At 42.8% G+C, this 21,317-nt stretch overlaps 1 protein-coding gene across 1 annotated transcript in view; it reads right to left on the bottom strand.

Annotated features, from left to right (window-relative positions):
- Nucleotides 1–55: 55 nt before the first annotated feature.
- FAM234B (family with sequence similarity 234 member B) overlaps nucleotides 56–21,317 on the bottom strand; it is a 39,069-nt gene continuing 17,807 nt past the window's right edge. The window contains exons 5-13 of the mRNA NM_020853.2: nucleotides 20,530–20,660; nucleotides 16,718–16,865; nucleotides 16,209–16,350; nucleotides 15,058–15,201; nucleotides 14,794–14,875; nucleotides 12,109–12,264; nucleotides 7,362–7,479; nucleotides 3,496–3,716; nucleotides 56–2,880 (exon numbers count right to left, since the gene is read on the bottom strand). Of these exons, the coding sequence (NP_065904.1) occupies nucleotides 2,875–2,880; nucleotides 3,496–3,716; nucleotides 7,362–7,479; nucleotides 12,109–12,264; nucleotides 14,794–14,875; nucleotides 15,058–15,201; nucleotides 16,209–16,350; nucleotides 16,718–16,865; nucleotides 20,530–20,660 (1,148 nt within the window). The 3' untranslated portion in view covers nucleotides 56–2,874. The remainder of the gene's footprint in view (nucleotides 2,881–3,495; nucleotides 3,717–7,361; nucleotides 7,480–12,108; nucleotides 12,265–14,793; nucleotides 14,876–15,057; nucleotides 15,202–16,208; nucleotides 16,351–16,717; nucleotides 16,866–20,529; nucleotides 20,661–21,317) is intronic.

The following is a 21,317-nucleotide window of genomic DNA, read 5'->3' as shown; positions in this document are numbered from 1 at the left end:
GGGGAAACAAACCATCCTTGATGACTAAGACGAATGAGAATGGCACACAAGTGTATTCCTGTAGAGTATTTATTTATTTACTCTATAACAGTTCACATTTTAAATAGTGCTTCCTGACAATATACCAGCTGGCTCTTCTTTAATAGGGCAATAAGGATAGCAATTCACATTCAGGGGATTAGTTTCACCATACCACACATTTGGGGGATGGCAAAAACGGGGTCTAAGGAAAAGGGAGGGTGTTTAAGGGAAAGAGGAGGGTAAGACCCTTGCATTTGTAGAAGTCATTACTATTTCTCAGTAGTGGTCATATTGGCTTTGCCGGCAACCTCAGGATGGGATTAGAGAAAGAAAGGAGCATGTCCTATCTTAGACACCTGGGTGGGTGGCTGCCTGCAAGGAGAAGGAGGCTTAGGGACACATTTCACAAGAAACCAGCACCCACATTGGTCAGATGAAGCTTCCTCAATTTTCAGCCACCACTTACACCTTTCTGTACCGGCTGCAAGAGGAAGAAGAAAACTAAACTTATAATGTTGTTTGGCAAGGAGAGATTCAAACTTACCATAGTCAAAAGAATCTATGTTAAGTTAGTTTGCAAATACACCATGAAGAATTCAGGTACATTAAGTTTCTCTAGCTTCCTCTTATCTTTCTGGGATTTGCCCTGCATAAACACAGTCCTCTGCCCAAACAATCCCACCAAAACAGGTCCTCAGAAAACAACTTCATGTTTCACTCCTGCGCAGAGTGGCTGGCTTCCCAGAAAGCCTTAACATAACAGAGAACCAGGTTATGCCCGGACAGCTCAGCCAAACCACAGGACCACCACCCAAGTTTTGGGTATTCAGCTGCCTATAAATTAATTCTTCAAATTCTATACTAAACCAAATTAGGTCCCAGGCCCTTAAACTCAAGTAGATTCAAATCCCAGAAATTATCTGGAATCATTCCCATACTCTAGAAGTATCTTCTTATTCCTCCAAAGTCAAGCTGGACCCACAGATGACTTCCAAACTGTTGAAACAAAATTTGCCTTCAGGATCTTAAGGCAGAGGCACCCAGAAACCTGATAAGGCCAATCTACAGGCCAGGCAACATGCATGCTTGGATCTACTGCTACCAACCTCCTGTTAGGTCATAATGCCTGTCAGTGGGTAATTAACAGAGATCCCTTTGAATCTGGACTTCATAATTTTCTAGAATCCTTTTACTAACACAAGCTAAAAGATACAAGCCCAGCCGGGCATGGTGGCTCACGCCTGTAATCCCAGCACTTTGGGAGGCAGAAGCAGGTGGATTATCTGAGGTCAGGAGTTCGTGACCAGCCTGGCCAACATGGTGAAACCCCGTCTCTACTAAAAATACAAAAAAAAAAATTAGCCAGGCATGGTAGCGGGCACCTGTAGTCCCAGCTACTTGGGAGGCTAAGGCTGGAGAATCGCTTGAACCCAGGAGGCGAAGGTTGCAGTGAGCCGAGATTGTGCCACTGCACTCCAGCCTGGGCGACAAGAGCAAAACTCTGTCTCAAAAAAAAAAAAAAAAAAAAAAAAAAGATACAAGCCCAGGTAAAGAGAGAACCTGAGGTGCACTCAGGGATGACCTATCAAGGTTATTCAAGAAGCAGTTTTCCATCCGCTAACATTGAATTTTCTGCTATATAAACAATGACCTAAAAGTTTAGAGGAGAACTTAATTGAAGTAGCAGATTTATACAGAAGAAGGGAGAAGTAAGCACTGGAGATAATTCTAAATAACTTAACCATTTATAAAAGTTATAGTATTTACAGAAGAATTTTCCCAAAATACAATGCTTCAAAGGCTCTACAGGAAAGAAGAGATGCAGGACAAAATGGTTGCATCCTGGACTCAAGTAGCAGAAGAAAAAGTCCAGAAACATATCCCTGAATAGAAGAGAAAACAGAGTGAGGGGAGCTAAGGAGGGTGCCCTATAGAAAAAGATGCAGAGAAGACATACAGCAGGATAAGGACATCAAAGGCTCCTGACTTCCAGTTCTCCTCTAAGTTGAAGACAGCATGCAAACATACACTTCTGATGTCGCCACAGAAAAAAGATCATGACTGGCAGAACCATCAGAGCCACATATAACACAACATGTGGACTTGGTCAGAGATGGGTCACTGAGACTACATCCTCTTGCTCCCCTTGTGATAGGAATATAGTTATTCTTGTGGTCACTTAATAGACATGGATGGAAAATCTAAGGAAATAGGATATAAAACAAGAGAGATGAAAATGCTTGGATGGCTAACTCAGTCTTCCACTATAAATCTTTCTCATTCTGTCTACAATTTGGAAGTAGCCAAGGTACAGGTGGGAAAGAATAAGGAGAGAAATAAGTGGCCCTCAACATCAGAGGTAGGGCATCTGGAAGTCTCAAAATGACCAAACAAACCAGATATATTTCAGAAGGACAAGAAACTGGATCCCTGAAGCTTAGGACATACCTGGAAAATAACTTCACCACAACACTAAAATATACACACACACAGCACAATGTACAACAAAATGTTTCCTAGTCATAGACTTCACTGGCTTTCCCAGCAAGACTTCATAAATTAGACATACCAAAAAAATTAAATACTTAAGAGATTCACATTTCCAAACGATCCACGCAGAGTTCCTAGAGGGGATTAATGCAGGGACTGAAAAGGTAGGTAAGATGCCCCAGCCAAATAGATCATGCTGCCGTCAAAGACTCCAACATGCCTTCCCAAGCCTTTGCAACCATCAGGGAGGTGGTAAATGAGGACGAAGAAGTCTTCTCTCCATAGAACTGATTTTACAGTGACAGGAGAGTAGAGAGGGTATCCACTCTGTTCACTTCTTCTGCAACTGAAGATTCCATCAGATTAGATCTATGGAAAAAGAGTTATCGTGACTTTATTGTTTTTCATGGTAGAGATGTTCAAAGAAAAGCAGGAAAACTAAAGGTCAGAATATTTCTCTATTTTCCCGTCCTTTTCTTTAGCTCCAATAGTCTGTAAACATTTCCTCCTTCCAGAAAGGCCCAGAAACTTTGTTATTTTCCATGATAAGCTTTTGAACTTTGCACTAGACTATAATATTTCTTGGGAGTGGGGATGGGGAGGGAACATTAGCATTTTGAGCAAGATGATTCTTTGTAGTATGTAACTGCTACAAGCCCTGCATGATGTTAGCATCACTAGCCCCAACCCAGAAAATACCAGTCGTAGCCACCCCTGTCAGTCATTGGGACAATAAAAACCACGACCCCACATTGTCAAATGTCCCCTAAGGAAGATGCTATTATTTCCAGCTGAAAACAATTGAGAATCATTTCTTCATGGTCAGAAGGCATCCATAGGAAACAGTGTTGGTCCAAAACAACTGTCTTGATACACATCTACTCAAGAAAGTTCCCCATTCTGCCTACTTTCTAAAGACAAAGCTGGAATTGGTAGTATTTGTCCTAAACCCTCAAGAGGAACAATATTTCTGCAGCCACTCACCTCGTAGGGAGCTTCAACAAACTTTATCCTAGAGAGAAATCTTCGCAGCTCCCCACGGCCAATTTTGGGGGTGGACTCCTGTAGCTGAGCCATCTGGCCCTCCATTAGTGCCCACCGTAGACTAAGCTTGCTGACCACCAGGGCTGCTGGATGGCCTTCGGAGCTTGGCCCTGTTGTCCTGGTAACATAAAAGGCATCTTTCCAGAGGTCGTTAATTCCAACTGAGGAAGGACAAAAACAAGAGCAGTTAACATGGACACATACCGTCCACTAACAGGAGAGGGGTTTGGTTCAACAATACATTTATTTACTCATAAGTTCATACAGGAAATGTACTGAGCACTGAATAAACAGAAGGCAGTGAGCTAGCCCACGGGTGCAAAGAGGGGAAGGACTGGACGCCAGTAAAGCAGCACATTCTTCCTGGTCTTTGCACCTTTACTCCTCTGAAGCTATTTCCAAAAAAGCCCAACTCAGGAACTGAGAGAATGTGCCCCTTGTGGCAAGAATTCAGTAGAAAAGCAAGCCCGAAACACTAGGGAGCCTGAGAATTCCCAGACTGTCAGTGCGCAGTCACAGAGGCGATTTACCTTGCCAGTGTTTATTTTGCCTTATCTTTAAAATACAAGTTGTATAAGGTGTAAGGAAGGGATCCAGTTTCAGCTTTCTACATATGGCTAGCCAGTTTTCCCAGCACCATTTATTAAATAGGGAATCCTTTCTCCATTGCTTGTTTTTCTCAGGTTTGTCAAAGATCAGATAGTTGTAGGTATGCAGCGTTATTTCTGAGGGCTCTGTTCTGTTCCATTGATCTATATCTCTGTTTTGGTACCAATACCATGCTGTTTTGGTTACTGTAGCCTTGTAGTATAGTTTGAAGTCAGGTAGCGTGATGCCTCCAGCTTTGTTCTTTTGGCTTAGGATTGACTTGGTGATACGGGCTCTTTTTTGGTTCCATATGAACTTTAAAGTAGTTTTTTCCAATTCTGTGAAGAAAGTCATTGGTAGCTTGATGGGGATGGCATTGAATCTGTAAATTACCTTGGGCAGTATGGCCATTTTCACGATATTGATTCTTCCTACCCATGAGCATGGAATGTTCTTCCATTTGTTTGTATCCTCTTTTATTTCCTTGAGCAGTGGTTTGTAGTTCTCCTTGAAGAGGTCCTTCATGTCCCTTGTAAGTTGGATTCCTAGGTCTTTTATTCTCTTTGAAGCAATTGTGAATGGGAGTTCACTCATGATATGGCTCTCTGTTTGTCTGTTATTGGTGTATAAGAATGCCTGTGATTTTTGTACATTGATTTTGTATCCTGAGACTTTGCTGAAGTTGCTTATCAGCTTAAGGAGATTTTGGGCTGAGACAATGGGGTTTTCTAGATATGCAATCATGTCATCTGCAAACATGGACAATTTGACTTCCTCTTTTCCTAATTGAATACCCTTTATTTCCTTCTCTTGCCTAACTGCCCTAGCCAGAACTTCCAACACTATGTTGAATAGGAGTGGTGAGAGAGGGCATCCCTGTCTTATGCCAGTTTTCAAAGGGAATGCTTCCAGTTTTTGCCCATTCAGTAGGATATTGGCTGTGGACTTAAACGTTAGACCTAAAACCATAAAAACCCTAGAAAGAAACCTAGGCATTACCATTCAGGACATAGGCATGGGCAAGGACTTCATGTCTAAAACACCAAAAGCAATGGCAACAAAAGACAAAATTGACAAACGGGATCTAATTAAACTAAAGAGCTTCTGCACAGCAAAAGAAACTACCATCAGAGTGAACAGGCAACCTACAAAATGGGAGAAAATTTTCGCAACCTACTCATCTGACAAAGGGCTAATATCCAGAATCTACAGTGAACTCCAACAAATTTACAAGAAAAAAACAAACAACCCCATCAACAAGTGGGCGAAGGACATGAACAGACACTTCTCAAAAGAAGACATTTATGCAGCCAAAAAACACATGAAAAAATGCTCACCATCACTGGCCATCAGAGAAATGCAAATCAAAACCACAATGAGATACCATCTCACACCAGTTAGAATGGCAATCATTAAAAAGTCAGGAAACAACAGGTGCTGGAGAGGATGTGGAGAAATAGGAATACTTTTACACTGTTGGGACTGTAAACTAGTTCAACCATTGTGGAAGTCAGTGTGGCGATTCCTCAGGGATCTAGAACTAGAAATACCATTTGACCCAGCCATCCCATTACTGGGTATATACCCAAAAGACTATAAATCATGCTGCCATAAAGACACATGCACACGTATATTTATTGCGGCACTATTCACAATAGCAAAGACTTGGAACCAACCCAAATGTCCAACAATGATAGACTGGATTAAGAAAATGTGGCACATATACACCATGGAATACTATGCAGCCATAAAAAATGATGAGTTCATGTCCTTTGTAGGGACATGGATGAAATTAGAAATCATCATTCTCAGTAAACTATCGCAAGGACAAAAAACCAAACACCGCATGTTCTCACTCATAGGTGGGAATAGAACAATGAGAACACATGGACACAAGAAGGGGAACATCACACTCTGGGGACTGTTGTGGGGTGGGGGGGAGGGGGGAGGGATAGCATTAGGAGATATACCTAATGCTAGATGACGAGTTAATGGGTGCAGCACACCAGCATGGCACATGTATACATATGTAACTAACCTGCACATTGTGCACATGTACCCTAAACCTTAAAGTATAATAATAATAAAATTTAAAAAATGAATAAATAAAATAAAATACAAGTTGTAATAAAAATGGTGTCAAGATTCTTAATTACCATTATTTGATGTTCACTGAATATTTTATGCTACTGTTGAAAAAACAGCTCACTCAGATCTAATCACAGGATTTTCCAAGCTCATACCTCCCTGCCCCCACCCCCCAATCAGTGGACAGGTGTGCCTGCAAGTTCCAGGTAAGCTGTTCTTCCCCGTGTATCCCAATAAATCGAGAGAGCTACAAACACCAGCTGCAGCCCAAGGCCAATGAGTTTGTAAGTAGACAGCCAAGTCCATAAGTAGCAAGAGAATGTGGAAAGAAAGAAAGGAGATGTGGTCATCTGGTCCTCTCCCACTCCTGCACTCCCTGACCTCCCAACAGGAACAGCAGATTCCATGAGGGAAGGAATCGCTGAGGAGATCACCAGACAACCTAGACTAGCAGGCAGCAGAGGCTGCAATCCCAATGCTTTGGTTTCCTGAGTTGAGGGTCTCCCATATAGGATCCCATTTTATTTACAGTGTTATTTAGACAGATATGTAAAGTAGAAGAACACTTCCAAAATGCTAATAGTGGTTATGAGTGGCCAGATTATGGCCAATTTTTCTTTCTTCCTTTGATTTTTCTTCTTTCTCCAATTTCTATGCAGGGTGCACAGTTATATTCAAAAAAAGGTTTTCTAAATCAATGCCCTGGCAAAACACATTCTATCTCCATCATGTCCTTCACAGTTAATTCCAAATCCTAATCTCTGAGTGGGTCAAGAAACTAGTCTTATTTGTAGTCCCAGCACCTGGCACAGTGTCTGGCATACAGATGATGCTCATTAAATGTCTGCTGAAGGAGTGGCTGGATGAATCATCACCTTACAGACCCTTTGGAATGGGACGCGCTTTCACCTCCACATTCAGAGCATATGGGTTCTCACCCTGTGAGCCCGGGGCTTCCACCCAGGGGAGCATTCCAGCAAAGAGGCACCAGGGACACCAGGGAAAGTGCCCTGCTGTCGTCTGAGAAGCACACATCCTTCCCTGGGTGGGGCAATGGTCTCATTACACACAGCCAACACATACTCTCCCACCATCTGCGTACACAGACTCCCGCTGGCACTGGGACTCACCCTCTGAAGCCGTCACTGTGCCGGTGGTGTTGGCCAGATCCAGAAGGATGGAGGGGAACGCAGGATGCAGGAGGTAAAGGTGGTGAAGGCTGGGCGGCTCAGTTCCTAGGATGATATCCTGATAATAAGCAGCAAAAAGGAAGAGCAAAGGTAACGCTACATTCCCACACGTGACAGTCCTCAGGTGAAAAGGCAGAGTAGAAAATGGTGATTACTCATTCCTCTCAGATGCTAATGCCTGATCCTAACTACAAGAATGTGTTTGAAAGAAACTCCCCTGTATAAGAGACATATTTCAAAGAGCTCAAAATAGTAATCACTAACTCTTTCAAACCACTATCTACAGCTGGAAAATGCTTTCTCCCTTGTAAGAAAAAAAAGGAAGGCAGGCCTGGTGCGGTGGCTCATGCCTGTAATCCCAGCACTTTAGGAGGCCGAGGTGGGCAGATGACCTGAGGTCAGGAGTTCGAGACCAGCCTGGCCAACATGGAGAAACCCTGTCCCTACCGAAAATACAAAAAAAAAAAAAAAAAGAGAAAAAAAAGCTGGGCTTGGTGGTATGCCTGTAGCCCCAGCTACTCAGGAGGCTGAGGCAGGAGAATCACTTGAACCTGGGAGGCACAGGTTGCAGTGAGCCAAGATCATGCCACTGCACTCCAGCCTGGGTGACAGAGAGAGACTCTGTCTCAAAAAATAAAAAAAAAAAAAAAGAAAAGAAAAGAAAAGGCAATGTACAGGTCCCAAGAGAGGAATCTGACAAGATGTCCCAGTCTTCTGCCCATGGAAGTACTGGAATACTGGTTCATCCCTTGCAGCAGATGGGGCTTTGTGGAGATGTAATCTATTCATGAAAACACAGTGAGCCAAAGATATTTCCTTTCACTGGGTGTCAAAGCCAACTGCAAGCATCAGGCTAAAAATTACAAAAATCTTATCTGTTCCTGAAATGAGTGGAATGTTGACCAGACAGAGGCAAATCATCAATTATAAAACAAAAGTTCCAAGGCCTGAGTGTCAGTCTTCAAACTCTCTACAGCAGAAGAAATGCACATTGGGACTATCTTTATCAGTATGACTTCTATGTGGGGATGGGACTTGAGACTTGGCAGGTACATGAGTGTGCAGCCATGCAGTTGTTAAGGCACAGAAGTACACCCATGTGAGTTAGTAAGTGGCTGCTCTCCAGAGCTTCCCAAGTGCCTCTCCTCCCCTGGGACTACCTTGGGCCTCCTGCAGTAGAGGAAATGGAAGCTCTGAGGGATGAATATTACCCCTGCTTCCATATCGCTGCATGGGAAGAAGTCCCCAAGTGAGGAGAAGTGTGAGCAGGAAGCTTGCAACCTCACTCTCAACACATCCCCACAAAGCAGAAGAGGGCATCTTCCACACACCCTTAGGATCCCAGGTATGAAAGGACAGATCTCCAGCTCAGCTAACATGAGAAGAAAACAGCCATACACCTTCCTCACTGCCTACAGAATGAAGCACAAATTCCTTAGCAGTCTTATACCATTTAACCAAAATATGCCTTTTCCAGACTGAGCTGCTATGACTCACCTGCCCACCCCATGCTGCACAAATGTCTGATCATCACCCTCAATCCATGCTTCACCTTACTCTGCCTAACCGTTGCCAATCTTATTTGCCTCTTAGACTGTCTAACTATCCTCTCTACCCCATCTCTACACTTCTCGTCCTTAGGTGCCCACCTTGGCCCCCTCTTTGAGGAAAAGCTCCCTTATTACCCTAGGCAAAATTAACATCTCCCTTCTTTTGTGCTTCCATGTAAACTTCTTACTTGTACCTCTATTAAAGCATTTGTAACATGGCTCTTTTCTTTTTGTAGTTATTTATAGAAGACTACACTTGAGACTTATCTTGCCCAATACCCTCATTTTATTATAGGAGGGGTCTTCAAAAAGTTCATGGAAATGCAGATTATGAAAAAACTATGCAAGGACTTCAAAATTTTTTTTGCACCAGAGGAAACTCATACTAACTTGTTATAACATGCCTGAACAGGAGCTAGTCTGAGGCACCAAGAAGGGTAAGATATCAGTTTGAAAACAGCCCCTATCAAAGTAACACAAATTCTGCCAAAAAGGTGAAGCAAGAACATGCATCAAATTTGTGGTGAATTTTGGGTGGAAGAATGGTGAAATCATTGATGCTTTCTGAAGAATTTGTGATGACAATGCCCCAGAGAGATCAGCAGCTTAGACGCGGATAGCTCATTTTCACGAGGGACAAAATGATGTCGGAGATTAAACCCACAATGGCAGACCATCCTCAACAATTTGTGAGGAAAAAATTAATCTTGTTCATGCCCTAACTGAAGAGAACCAATGATTAACAGCACAAACAATAGCCACCACTGAAGACACCTCAATTGGTTCAGTTTACGTAATTCTGGTTGAAAAATTAAAGTTGAGCGAACTTTCCACGGGATGGGTGGCAAAACTGTTGGCCCATATTAGCTGCAGACAACAGCAGGACTTTCAATGGAAATTTTAAACAAGTGGGATCAAGATCCTGGAAGCATTTCTTTGAAGATCTGTAGCAGGAGATGAAACATGGCTTTACCAGTGTGCTCCTGAAGGCAAAGCACAATGAAAGCAATGACTACAAGAGGTGGAAGTGGTCCAGTCCAAGAAAAAGTGGAAAGGTCAACAGCAAAAGTCATGACAGTATTTTGGAGGGATGCCCAAGGCATTTTGCTTGTTGACCAGACAGAGGCAAATCATCAATTATAAAACAAAAGTTCCAAGGCCTGAGTGTCAGTCTTCAAACTCTCTACAGCAGAAGAAATGCACATTATGTTGACGTTAAGGCTAAAGAATGATAACATTGGCTGGGTGCGGTGGCTCATGCCTGTAATCCCAGCTCTTAGGGAAGCAGAGGCAGGATGACAGCTTGAGCCCAGGAGTTCGAGGCCTGCCTGGGCAATACAGCAAGACCCCATTCTCCACAAAAAGGAAAAAAAAAAAAAAGACAAAAAAAGAATGATAACATCTGCTTAAAATGAGAGTGTTTGAGAAAGCCAAAGCTTTAGCAGAAAAACACCTGGGAAAGCTTCACCAGAGAGTTCTTCTCCATCACAACAATGTTCCTACTCATTCCTCTCATCAAACGAGCAATTTTGTGAGTTTCAATGGGAAATCATGAGGCATCCACCTTATGGTTCTGAGTTAGCTCCTTGTGACTTTCTTTAGTTTCCTAATCTTAAGAAATCTTTAAAGGGCTCTCATTTTTTTCAGTTTATAATGTAAAAAAAGACTGCATTGACATGATGAAACGCCCAGGACCCTCAGTTCTTTAGGGATGGACTAAACGGCTGGTATCAGTGCTTACAAAGTGTCTTGAACTTGATGGAGCTTATGTTAAGAAATAAAGTTCTTTTTTTTTTTTTTTTTTGAGACAAAGTCTCGCACTGTCGCCTGGGCTGGAGTGCAATTGCATGATCTCGGCTCACTGCAACCTCTGCCTCCCGGGTTCAAGCGATTCTCCTGCCTCAGCCTCCCAGATAGCTGGAATTACAGGTGCCCACCATCACACCTGGCTATTTTTTGTATTTTTAGTAGAGACGAGGTTTCACTACATTGGCCAGGCTGGTATCGAACTCCTGACCTTGTGATTCTCCTGCCTCGGCCTCCCAAAGTGCTGGGATTACAGGCATGAGCCACTGCGCCCAGCCGATATTTTTTATTTTTATATTTTAATTACATTTTTCCATGAACTTTCTGAAGTCCCCTCATAGGTGGGGAGGAAGTTGAAATGTTAGGTAAATTGCCCACGGTCACACTGTTAGGCCATGTCAGAGTTAGAAATACAATCTAGATTTTAGGTAAATCTGATCCTCAAAATGAGTAAATATATTAGCATGTTCATTAACCATTAATGGATAAAGATAATGAGGTTCAGAGAAGTTGAGCGACTTGTTGACTGAGCCTGGTTGATGAATTCAGGATCCTGCCTCCGTCAGGTTCCCCCCATTATCTGTGGACCATCTGCCTTCTCTAGAGGGCCAAGATTATTTTCAGTTTATCCTTAGTCCCTACAGAGATCACAGCGCCTGGCACACAGAAAGTGCTGAGTCAAGATGTGTTTCATTGAACTCAGGCAGGGCGGGTCTTACTAAAAACTCCCCAGTACCTAAAACAGGTAGCACCCTGCCTCACCAACCCCATGAAAATACTGCAGTGTAACATTTAAGACTTTCTAAAATCTGCCTTCTAGGTGTCAGACCTTCTCTCCCATAGTTCCTCAAATGACCTCTCAGTTTTATCTGGTCAATGTCCCTCTCCAACTGCTGGCCACCCTCCCCCATCCCCGTTCCTTCAGTCTCAGGGCATGTGCCTCAAAGCCCAGCCTTACTCCTCCTTGAAATTCTCTCTGCCCACTTCAGACCAGTCATAATGATTTCTCCTCTTCAACAACCGTAGCATATGTGAATTATCTGTAAATTTGGATCTAGTATCTTGGGAGGACTTTTTATTCTTTATTCAGCCTCCCACTGTCAGTAGCCAGCAGTTAGGGGCTGTTGTCAGCTTGCACATTCTCTGCTAAAAGGCAAAGGTGTGGCTCAGGAGGACACAGGGTTCCTGCTTTTCTCCAGCGAGTGCTGACTTGTTTCTATTCCAACCCCTTGGAAAGTGATGGGTCAAATAACATCTCCAGAACACAGTCAGCCCTGCACAGCAGCTGCCATCTGACAAAGTAAAAAAGGGACCCTCCCAGGCTCACTCACGGAATTGGGAGATGCAGCTGACAGCCCTTCGGCCCAGAAGAGGAAGACAGACTTCTGGTCTGAAGTAACTGCTGAGGTGGCTGGCGTTTCTTTCATGTGACACGGAGCACGGTAACTCCAAACAATGGAGCCAGAGTCACCATCCACAACCATCATCTACAAAAGAGAAGACAGACAGTAAACATGGCCAGGCCTCAAAAAAGCAGCAGGCCCAGAAAATGCACACACAAAAATGCACAGGTATTCAAATAACACAAATATCAACACGCTGCGCTTTTAAGATGCAAGCAAACTGGGTGTTCCGAGAGCACGAATAATGGCTAAGGACCAGGCCCCAGGCTTCTGCAGCCCTTGTTCCCATTTAATAGATTTCAAGAACTGCAAAGTTCTCAAGTGGGAATGGGACATTCAAATCATGTAGTCCACCCCATTTTACAGGTGAGAAAAGGAGGATCTGAGAGACAGGAAGTGATGTGGACACGCGGATTGTCCACGTTTAGGACAGTCCTCAGAGAGACAGAGCAGCCACTCTGCAAATGCCAACAGCAGCACCTTATCCCCCACAACACAGCAGTCACTCAGAAAACAATGGCCCAGTGAACACTGTCCTGGGGCACGGTGTTCCCAGTTTTATGGATCTGACTCTTGGTGTCGTGGCATATGGACCTAGGGAAGTCTCAAATTTAAAGCAGTGCTGTTTAAACAGGCAAAAAAAATAATCCAAGAGGGAATTCATTGCTTAGCTGCATTTGTCAAAGGATAATGACAAAGGGGTTCAAATTCATAATCCTGGCATATGTCTGCTCTTCATCCTAAATGCCTCACAGATCTGGAGCCTCTCATTTACCAAAATCCCCAAGAAGTTCCCCAATTTCCTCCAGCCCAAGTGTCTTTACTCCCTCCTGCTCAGTGTCTCCACACTTCTGTAAGTGGAGGACCTAACCTCTTTGGACAACCGCTTGCCCTATTCTTCCAGGCTCCTGAGTCCTGCCTTTCTCTGCCTATGCTCAGACTCTGCATCACACAAGTTCCTGGAACCAACCCGGCAGAGACAAAATCTTCTCAACCAGCAGAGAAAGAAAAACAGACAAGCACTTCAAGATTGCCTTTGGCAATCTTGGGGAAAAGAGAAGTCTAGAGACACTGCACTAAAAACTTCTATCCACTCAAACACATATTTCATTTTATATATATATATATATATATATATATATATATATATATCTTTTTTTAATTATTATAGTTTAACTTCATTTAACTGTCACAATAATCCTATGAAGGCAGGCAATATTATTACCCCTGTTTTATAAATGCAGAAACTGCAGCTAGGCAAGATTAGGTAATATGCCCAAGGTCTCCAATAAGTAATGGTGTCAGGATTAAAACCCAGGGCTGAAACTCAGCATCTCCACCTTCAACCTACTATACCTACTATACACCTTTCTTCCGTTATCCTGCCAGCACCAGTGTATCAGAAATTCCTTTGAATTACACGCAGGCACTGGCTTTTCCTATATAACACTGCTGGAAGTCTCTCCCTAACATGATGTTTTTATCAATGTATCTGTCCTCTGCCCATAACCAAATAGCCCTGTGGCCTCCAACGCCTCCTCCAGATTCTGCAGCTGTGCTTTTGGGGCCCTCTGTAAGCCGACCTCATTCTCATCTCTCTGATGGGAGTGCACCTCAGCCCACCCTTATCTATTCAGCAAACCTTTTCTCTGCTCTCATGATTCTGCACATACAACCCCTGACCAACATGAGGCATCTCTTGCCTCCCTGGCCCTCCAGCTCGCCTGCACTCCATCTGCTCCCTGTGTTCCCGGTGGACCCCTGTGCGAACCTCCACAACAGCACTTTCCACCGCATGGTAGAGCTATGTAGTGACTCTGTCTTCATTAATTTTGTGTCTCCAGCATTCAGCATAGAAGTTGGCACGCATTAGAGGTGATGATAAAGTGTTTGTTGAATTATTTGTCTCTCTCAGGGAACAATGTGCAATGTATAGAAATAGATATATATTTCACAGTGAAAATAAACCAAAATGCAAGGTCGATAATAAAAAAAAATTGTAACTCTGTAATTCTGCTGTAATGTTAAAGAAATGAAAGTCATCCATCCAATCATTATATTCTCACAATATGCAACTTCATGCAATATCAAAGATCTATTCAGTGTCCTTGGAACATGCTCTATCCTTTCTGTCTCTGGGCCTCTGCTCTTGGCACCCCTGACCTGGCATGTTTTCCTGTCTACATAAATACGATTCAGCTTTAAAAAGCTGCTTATATTTCCCTCCTTTATAAGGTCTTCCATAAAACCCCAGTCACCACAGACTTCTCTGAAATCTTAGGTATAGCTGTGTGTTAAAGCATTACATTTCTTTATACCTGTCTTTCCCCACCAAGAGATTTCAGAAGGCCCCCAATGCCTAACTGTAAGCTAGGGATCCAAAACAAGAAACTCCTACATAGGAAGGAGATTATCCTAGAAAGGCTTCCAGTGCTACAGATTTTAGCAATGAATTGTGAGTTTTCATTTTATCCACTCAATGAGACTTTGAGTTCTTTGAAGTTAGAGATCATATTTTAGGTTCTTTTTATTCCCTGCTGTGCCTAACACAGGGTTGGACACAAAGTATATACTTTACATATGCTTTGATTGATCTGAGGCCCAAAGTTTTACCTTTTTCATCCCAACTCCATCCTGTATCTGCAGAAGGAAATCTAATGTCTGATCATCAGTGAAATATCCAGGAGTAGGCTGGCTGCAAATAAGGACAAAGTAAGCAATCAATAGTGAACAAGAAAAACAGGAAAACTAAGAACTCTCCCTCCCTTCTCTTGCACTGGCCCCAGATATAAGAATTGCAAGCAATTGTCCTGGACAATTTTTAAACATGGGAAAGTGGATCAAAACAGCAAACACAAGAAGGAACACAATGCAAACCTGCGCAGGCCTTGAAGTCTCAATGCCCAGTAAGGTGTCAGATTTTGCCCCCGAAGCAGCACAAGGCTTTGTCTGGTTGTAATCAGAAGGTTGCTGCAGTTGGAATCTGGTGCCTTCACCATCTGGAGTAGTTCAACACCATCACTGGGTTAAATAAGACCCCAACGGTTAGTCTCTGGCTTGGATGAGATTTCTGAGCCATTTACTTTGGCTTTTTCTCTCAGTATACGTACACCTGTACACACTCTTGTATTCATGCCCCACCATTATCTCATCAAGTGGGATGTACTGTTGTTTCAGTTGAATCTCATTTTCTTGACCTTAGAAACCAAGGATCCCCAGAAAATTCCATACAAGTTCAAAAGGAACTCACAGGAAAAGTGCTACAGTGCAATATCTCTCACACTGGATACTCTGGGAAAGGCAACAGAGCCAAGGATAATCACAGGGAAGGCAGACAGAGATCTGGACAGGAGGCCAGAGGTTGCCAATGAGCTTGGGCAGCAGCCCATGGCATACATTTCACTGAATTAGTTCTTGCTCAGTGCCACTGGGACCATTCTACTTCATACCTGTCAAAGTCACCAAAACACCATGATACTGCCTAAGAAAATGCTAGAAAATGATTTGGAACTTCTGGTAGGAAAGAATGAAACAATTATTAGCCAGGCTTGGGGTTAAATGGGTAAAATCCCCTGCATGTGACAAACTACATGCTTCTAGTTAGGAAATAAATAAAAATAAAAAATAAGATTTCATGGACACTATCCTTGCTTCTGTCAAAATGATGCTTCAACTAAGAGAAAAATACAGAAAAGAGTAGGTCAGATCCTTCAGCACAGTTTCACAAACAGTTAGATAAGTCTATCTCCCTCCCTACTCTGACTCAGAGCCCTAAGTATCCTTCCTTGCATCCTACCTGAGGAGTGATCACATGTGGTCACCAACACATAGATATCAACGCATTATGTTACCAAGAGAAGAAAATTTCTAACTCATGTTAACCAGATCAGAAGATGGTAAATTAAGATAAGCACTGTTTCCCCTAAACCTCTACCCACATATTCACCAGCCCAACCAAACTTAGAGACTCAAAGGCATGTGAGTTCACAAGAGATCTCACTGTGACCAAGGACAGACGTCTGCCCTACCTGTAAACATCAATGAGCTCAGACAGGTTGATGGATCTTCGCTTTTCCCATTCTGGCTCTTCTATCTGCAGAGAAGGTGGTGAGCTGTCTCGATTTTGGGCCTGAACAAAAATGTCCCGCAGTGCGACAGCTTGTATATTTCCTAGCACCACAGAAGAACCAACACTGAGAAGTTGAATTTAACAGAACTGTCCCATGGTGAGGATCTGAGCAAGAGACACAGAGCCTGACCAGATGGGTCTAACAGAGCCCGCCCAGACTGGACAACACGGAACAAGTGGGGAGGTGATTAAGTGGGTGCTGGACAAGAGTCTTCCCTTCAGAGGAGGCAGCAAGGGAAGGCAGAGTTAATAGCCTGTGATCGGTGGGGGACAGTAAGAGGCCCCTGCATTAGAAGGCTATGGGAAGGCTGGTGTCAGGAGTTCCTGAGCTTTCACCCTGTCTCACAAGGAAGGCCTCATCACAAATGCCAGTGGGGAACAGGAGCAAAAACTAGCCTTGCTTCTTACCAAAGCCAAACAGGATGTAGACAGCCCCATTTGTGGTGATGTAAACCTGAGGACCAATCAGATTCCCAACTCCAACGATGTTGTACTTCACAGGTCGACCCACTGGATTTCCGGTCCGGCCAGACACCAGCAGAAAGCACAGATCTGGCTGAGGAAGTAAGAGAGGGGGGTGGAGTCAATAGAAGCCCTATCGTTTGCTAATGAAATGGCTTCTCCAGACAGTCACTGCCTCCTCATAAGCCACGGGCTCAGAAACACTCCCCCAAGTTGGAAAGCACAAAGCCAAACCTGCTTCGCTTTATTTCCCTGCAAGTAAGCAAGTGAAGCAAATGTCCCATTGCCTCACTAGAGCCAGGCAAAGGGCATCTTCAAAGCACCTCAGACAGCTACTCTGAAGCAGAATTGTTGCTTGCTGAATAGTCTCCTGAGGCACAGAATTCTAGCCTACAGCTTAACATAGGATGGCTGGCCCCTGGGTCTTTACTTCAATACCAGAAATCCCCAGTAATATTTGGTTCCAGCTAGAGTTAATCGAGGCAGTGCTCTCCCATCAGAACACCAGATGTCGGGCCTGGACACCATCAACTTTATTCTCAAAGAGAGAACAGCAAACTTTTTCTGTGAAGGGTCAAATAGTATATATTTTAGCCTTTGCCAGCTAGATGATCTCTGTAGCAACTATTCTACTCTGCTGTTCTTGTGTGAAAGCAGTCATAAATAACACATAAATGAATGGGTGTGAGGATGTTCCAATAAAGCTCTATTTATAAAAACAAGTAGTGGGCCAAATTTAACCTACAAGCCACAGTTGCCAACTTCAGCTCTAGAGGATTTCTTTTGGGGTAGAGTCACCAGTTAAGAAATATGAGGATTTTACTGATATCTTGACTTCAGTAAAGCTTTTGACAAAGTTTATCATCATGAACTCTATGGACAAGATAAAGAAATGTGGTTTGCCATGTACCAGGAAAAGGTACTTATGGGATCAATACTAGCCTAGAGGGAGGTTTTTAGAGGAATGTCATAGCACTGTGCTATTGCCCCATTCCTATTAAACATTCTTATCAAAGACTTGAAAGAATAGAATTCAAGTTTATCACAAAGCTGAGAGGGATAGCTAATATGGCATATGACAAACTCAAAATTCAAAAAAACCTTAGGCTGGAAGATGAGTCAAAATCTGCCACAAAAAAATAAACTGGTCTATTAATAATTAATCATTAAAAGATATAGGTACTTTAGCTGATTACAAACAGAAAGCAAATCTTAGAAAAAATATTATTATCTTTGGCTGCAAAAACAGAAATACAGAGTCTACATCAAAATAAGAAACAATTCCCTTAGGTTGATATATTAATTATACTACAAATAAAATGCTGTTTTTAGATATAAGTACCACATTTTAAAAGAGATTTGGACATACTAGAATGCAAAGGGAAAGAAATCAAGAAAAAGAGGGGTTTGGACTTCCTGGTTGCATGAGGAACAGTACGAGAAATGGGGATATTTAGTCCTGAGTAGCAAGCTTAGAGGGACTAGGCTAATGGTTAAAGGGCTTTCCTATAGAAAGGGGATTAGACTCATTCACAGTAGCTCTATGGGAATGAAGCTGGAACAATGAGTGGAAGCTATGAGAAAGCAGATTTCTTTCTGCTTAGGACAGAATTTTCTGGAGCTGGCCCAAAAATGAAATGGATCGCCTCACAAATTAGTGTTATTCCCATCAGCCTGAGTGCACCAAGAGAGTAGGGGTGCCAACATGTCTGTAATGCTGAACCAGAGATCATAGCATGGTGTGAGAAAGTTAACCAAATGGTCTTCAAGGTCCCTTCCCACTAATGTTCTAGACCTTATCAGTTCCTGTAATCAAAAACCAGGTCCAGTTCTCCAAGCCCACTTCACTCTAAACCCAGATCAATGAACGCAATCACTATAAGTCACAGACTTAGGTTTCCTTCCTTGTGAAGAGAGAGTCTTCCATCTCAGGAGCTTATACAGGTTCCTGGGGTCCCTTGTTGCTGGCAGAGAGGTCAAAAGAGGTCAGTACAAGGATGAAGCTGCTGCGCTATATACCTAGTGCCTCTACAAGGTTTTCCTAGAACTGTCTACCACTTTTCAAGCAGAACTGAGACTATGCCCTAGCTGTACCCTATTGTGAAAACAAGTAAATTCTGTAGGGCAAGATGGGCAATACACTGAGTAGAGACCAACACAAAGGGCACAGAGTAAGAGTGGGCAAGAAGCCACTTCCTCCAGTGGAGACCTCCTTACTATGGAGGGTCCCCAAGGGCCTGAGCCACTATCCTGCCAACCACCACCAGCTAATAAGCGGCCAGACGGGATGGTTAGACCAAGATTTCTAAATTCAATCACGACTTAAAAACTTGTTCAATGGCTTGCCGTGTCTCCCCATATGTTCCCTTCAAAGAATTGCTCCCTGATGGAAGTAATAATTCAAATTTTCCCTAGTCCCCAATCTCTCTATTCACAATGGCTAGGATAAAAAAGATTACATGAATAATTCCTGAATCCTTGGTTCGGGTCCACTTTGAGACCAACTGGCTAGCTGAAGAAAACGAACATAAAGTACCCTTAAAGCTTAAAACCCTTAAAACTAAGTAGGCTTCAGAAATTTAGCTCATTCTGGATCTTGCCTTTATCTTGCAAATGTGAGGGAGAGTTTAGTGTGCTAGAGCAGTGCTCCTCAAAACTCATGACTGATGGGGCACTCTTAAGTTTGGGGGACTCTTGGCAGAAAGCCACAAAATCTTAACAGATTTCATTCCATTCTACATAATTTCACCTCCAGAATTTACAACTCTACTCCATATATGCAATACAAAGATCACAACAGCAAACACAAGGTCTATTAAAATTAAAATAGGTTATCAAATGAGACAAAATTAGCCATATCCACATTTTTCCACAAACATTCTTTGCCGATTGTTTGACTCTTTTGTGCACAAGCATTTCCTTGGCAGACACACTAGGAAGTCTGAGAAAAAGTCTTAGAGAAACTTTGACAAAAGCTCTGAAAAACGCTTCCAGAATAAAAACTTAAAATTGAGATTATTCTGTTCATTAATTTATTCCTTCCTGTGATTTGGGGGAAAGACTACTCTTATTTTATCTGTGTGCAGAGTAACCAGTACACTGAAGTTCCTGCAAATCATAATTTAGGACCATAATTCAAGGGCCACTGTCCTGAATCAAAGTCTGCCTTGTCACAGCCTAGATTATGACACTCCTTTCTTTGGTCATTGTTGTTATTATTGCTTGACTTAGATTTTTTCCTATGTATCTTTTATGAACTTTGTATCAGCCTGTTCTGTTGTTTTATAATTGACATAAAATGTACATATATATAATACAGTAAAACTAAAAATACATATACACAGCAAAAATTAGGCACTACTCTAGGCACTTTAAATATGTTAGCTGTAATTTTCATAACAATGATGTAAGTAGATATAACATGCCTTTTTTACATATGAAGAAACCAGAGCTTGGACAGGCTCCACGGCTTGCCCAAGGCCTCAAAGATATAAAGTGGTAGAGGTGGAATTCGCATACAGACCTAACTAACTCTAAAGCTCCACTACACCCCAGTCCATGGAGCCATGAGGCTGCCAGAGAAAATGGGTTCATAATGGTCAAGTATTCACTTAACCTCACAAAGAGAATTTACTTAAACCTAAACCCTTGTAAAAAGAACATTTCAAGCAGCATTTATAATGTAACACTAGGAGCTGAGACAACTAAAATAGAAGCAGTCCCTATAAGAAACAAAAAACATTTAATAGAGATCATACCTGCAATTCCCCAATGGCCAGAACCACAAGGTCTCGAACACCGTCTTCATCCAAGTCTGGCAGTACCACAACTGGGGCAGCCAAGGTACCGTTGGACAAGTAGTTTGGGTTTAAAGTCCAAATGGCTTTCCCTGAGGAAGGACACATAGGCTGGTCACTATGACAACTTCTTGCCTTTGGAAAAGGCAGATGCCATGTTCCCAGGCCAGAAAAGAAAGACGCAAGGGGCTGAACAACAGACAGCAACTCCTACCTACTTATTGCCTTTCGTTTTTGTCTTACTGAGGAGGAGGAAGCAGGCAGTGTGATCCGAATCCTAAAGTATCTGGCAAACAAATCCATGCAATGATTTCTCACCTAGATTTTTTTAGATAAAATGGAGGTGCTAAATCCTTTCCAACAAAGAAGGGCTCACTTGCCTGGGGTGAGGGAACTGTCTGTTAGAGATTATAACAACTATTAAGGAACCCCCAGGGGCAGCCGACCAGACCACTCTGCTTCCTTCCCCCACACGGTCACATAAGTAAGCACCACAGCATCATAGGAAGTTTTCCAGATGGCTTCAGTTCTACAGTTAACTCAAATCCCAGTTTTTTTCACTCAGAAGCACCCCGCGACCAAACTCCAACCTCTAAACCTGGGAAGGATGTTATTTATTCCGCTCCACGTGAGCACACGGCCCAGCAGTACTAAGCCTATGGGCCATATACTTAGGATTCTATAAGAGCCTTCAGGACATGTTATTCTTTTTCATTCCCTTTTGTCATGTATGTCTGAATGCAGTAAGA

This window comes from Homo sapiens, chromosome 12 (assembly GCF_000001405.40).
Source record: "Homo sapiens chromosome 12, GRCh38.p14 Primary Assembly".
In the NCBI taxonomy this organism is placed as follows: domain Eukaryota; kingdom Metazoa; phylum Chordata; class Mammalia; order Primates; family Hominidae; genus Homo; species Homo sapiens.
This window is presented reverse-complemented; position numbering and strand designations above follow the sequence as displayed.